Source organism: Homo sapiens, chromosome 14 (genome assembly GCF_000001405.40).
Source record: "Homo sapiens chromosome 14, GRCh38.p14 Primary Assembly".
Lineage (NCBI taxonomy): Eukaryota > Metazoa > Chordata > Mammalia > Primates > Hominidae > Homo > Homo sapiens.
The window spans coordinates 94,015,943-94,017,464 of record NC_000014.9 but is presented as its reverse complement, the minus strand read 5'-3'; the positions used below and the strand labels follow the sequence as shown (position 1 = coordinate 94,017,464).

Sequence of the window (1,522 nt, the reverse complement as noted above, 5' to 3'; positions counted from 1 at the left end):
ACACAATAACACACTCATCCCTTGATTCTGTCTGTGGGCTGTCTTCCATTTGCGCTTGAGCCATCCAATCTGCCTCTAGATCACGATTCACTATCATGCTCCCTTCAGCCTATAGTGGCTGAGAGCTCTAACTCTGAAAGGAGGCAGACATGATGGCTATGTGACCTTGGGAAAGCTTTTAAACTGTCTGAGCCTCATCTGTACAATGGGATAAACACTCCTGCAGGGAAAGCTGCCTAAGCTGTAATGAGCTTAGCATCCAGCAAGCATCCCACACGTGAGCTCTTGTTCTTACAGTTCCTTTACTACTGAACTGTCCTGTGACAGTGACAGTGGTTCAATTTGGAGCCCAATGCACTTGAATTCATGTCCAGGCTCAACCACTGACTGTCTGTGTAGCCTCAGACAAGGCACATTTTCACACTGAGCTGCAGTTTCCTCCTATAAAAGGGGATTAGGAAAAACTTTCTGGCTCACAGGTTGCGGGGACAACTCAGGGATGCACGGTAGCCAGTAAGCAGCATTCTGGTACCCCGTGAGGAACCTAACTCCCTTGTTCATGCACACACGCACCTGTTCCTTCAACACCGAGCACCACCTGCTTTGTGCCAGCCCCCCGGTAGGCACAGGGAGTTGGAGATAAAGGACACAGGGCTCCTGCCCTCAGCATGTGCACTGTTCATGGTGCTGGAGAGCAGGTGGGGATGAGGCTCCCTCTCTTGGATCTGTGAATGCAGCATCCCATGCATGACTGAGTCCTACAGAAAGTCCAGCAGCCGCCAGTGAGGGCTGAGCAAGTTTTGGCAGCAAAGGGCACGGCAACAGTGCCAGCACCTTCTGGAGACTCCAGTCAAGGGAAATGGAGGAACCCCCAGGTTTGGAGATGTTTGAGACATTCCCATGGAGTGGCTTTGGCCAGACTGGCACTTACAGCCTGGGAGCACAGGCCTCCCAAGTGGCCTGGCTGCTCCTGAGCCAAGAGCAGGGCTGGGCCGGGCATCTGGCCCCCAGTGAAGGGGGTGGGAGTGGAGCTGGAATGCCCAGCACCTTTTCAGCTGAGGCCATGGCAGGGAAGCCTCTCCAAGATATTTCCTGCAATCCCTGTCTGGCCAGCCTCCTTACCTGGAGAATAGGACTCAGGTTGGGACGCCAAGATTTAAAGTTAGAGACCAAAGGGGACCCCTTCAGAGAGCAGTAGGCAGTGGTGGCGGTGTCAGGGCAGGTGCTCATACAAGAACTAGAGTTAATGAACTTTGAGAAAACCCAATATGTGGAGCGCCAAGTACCTTTCTCCAGAGACTTGAAGACAGTTATGTGGGTGAAGGATTTGACAATTCCTCTTGTTCTTGGGGACACCAAGGGTGAGGATTGGTGAGGTGCCAAGAAGAGTTGGTTTCTAATTTTTTAATACAGTCTTTCTGGTTATAAAAAAACGTGTTAATCACAGAAACTTTGGAAAATACACAAAAGTATAAAGAAGAAAATAAAAAAATCCTACAATCTGGAGATAACCACTGTTAAC

The 1,522-nt window shown here is 50.3% G+C and overlaps 1 annotated feature.

The window, feature by feature from the left end:
- Positions 427 to 926: an enhancer, noted in NCBI's record as "H3K4me1 hESC enhancer chr14:94482885-94483384 (GRCh37/hg19 assembly coordinates)". NCBI's record gives its function as "activates a minimal SCP1, AML or CMV promoter by ChIP-STARR-seq in primed H9 embryonic stem cells {active_cell/tissue: H9 hESC(primed)}" and the evidence as "EXISTENCE:reporter gene assay evidence [ECO:0000049][PMID:30033119]".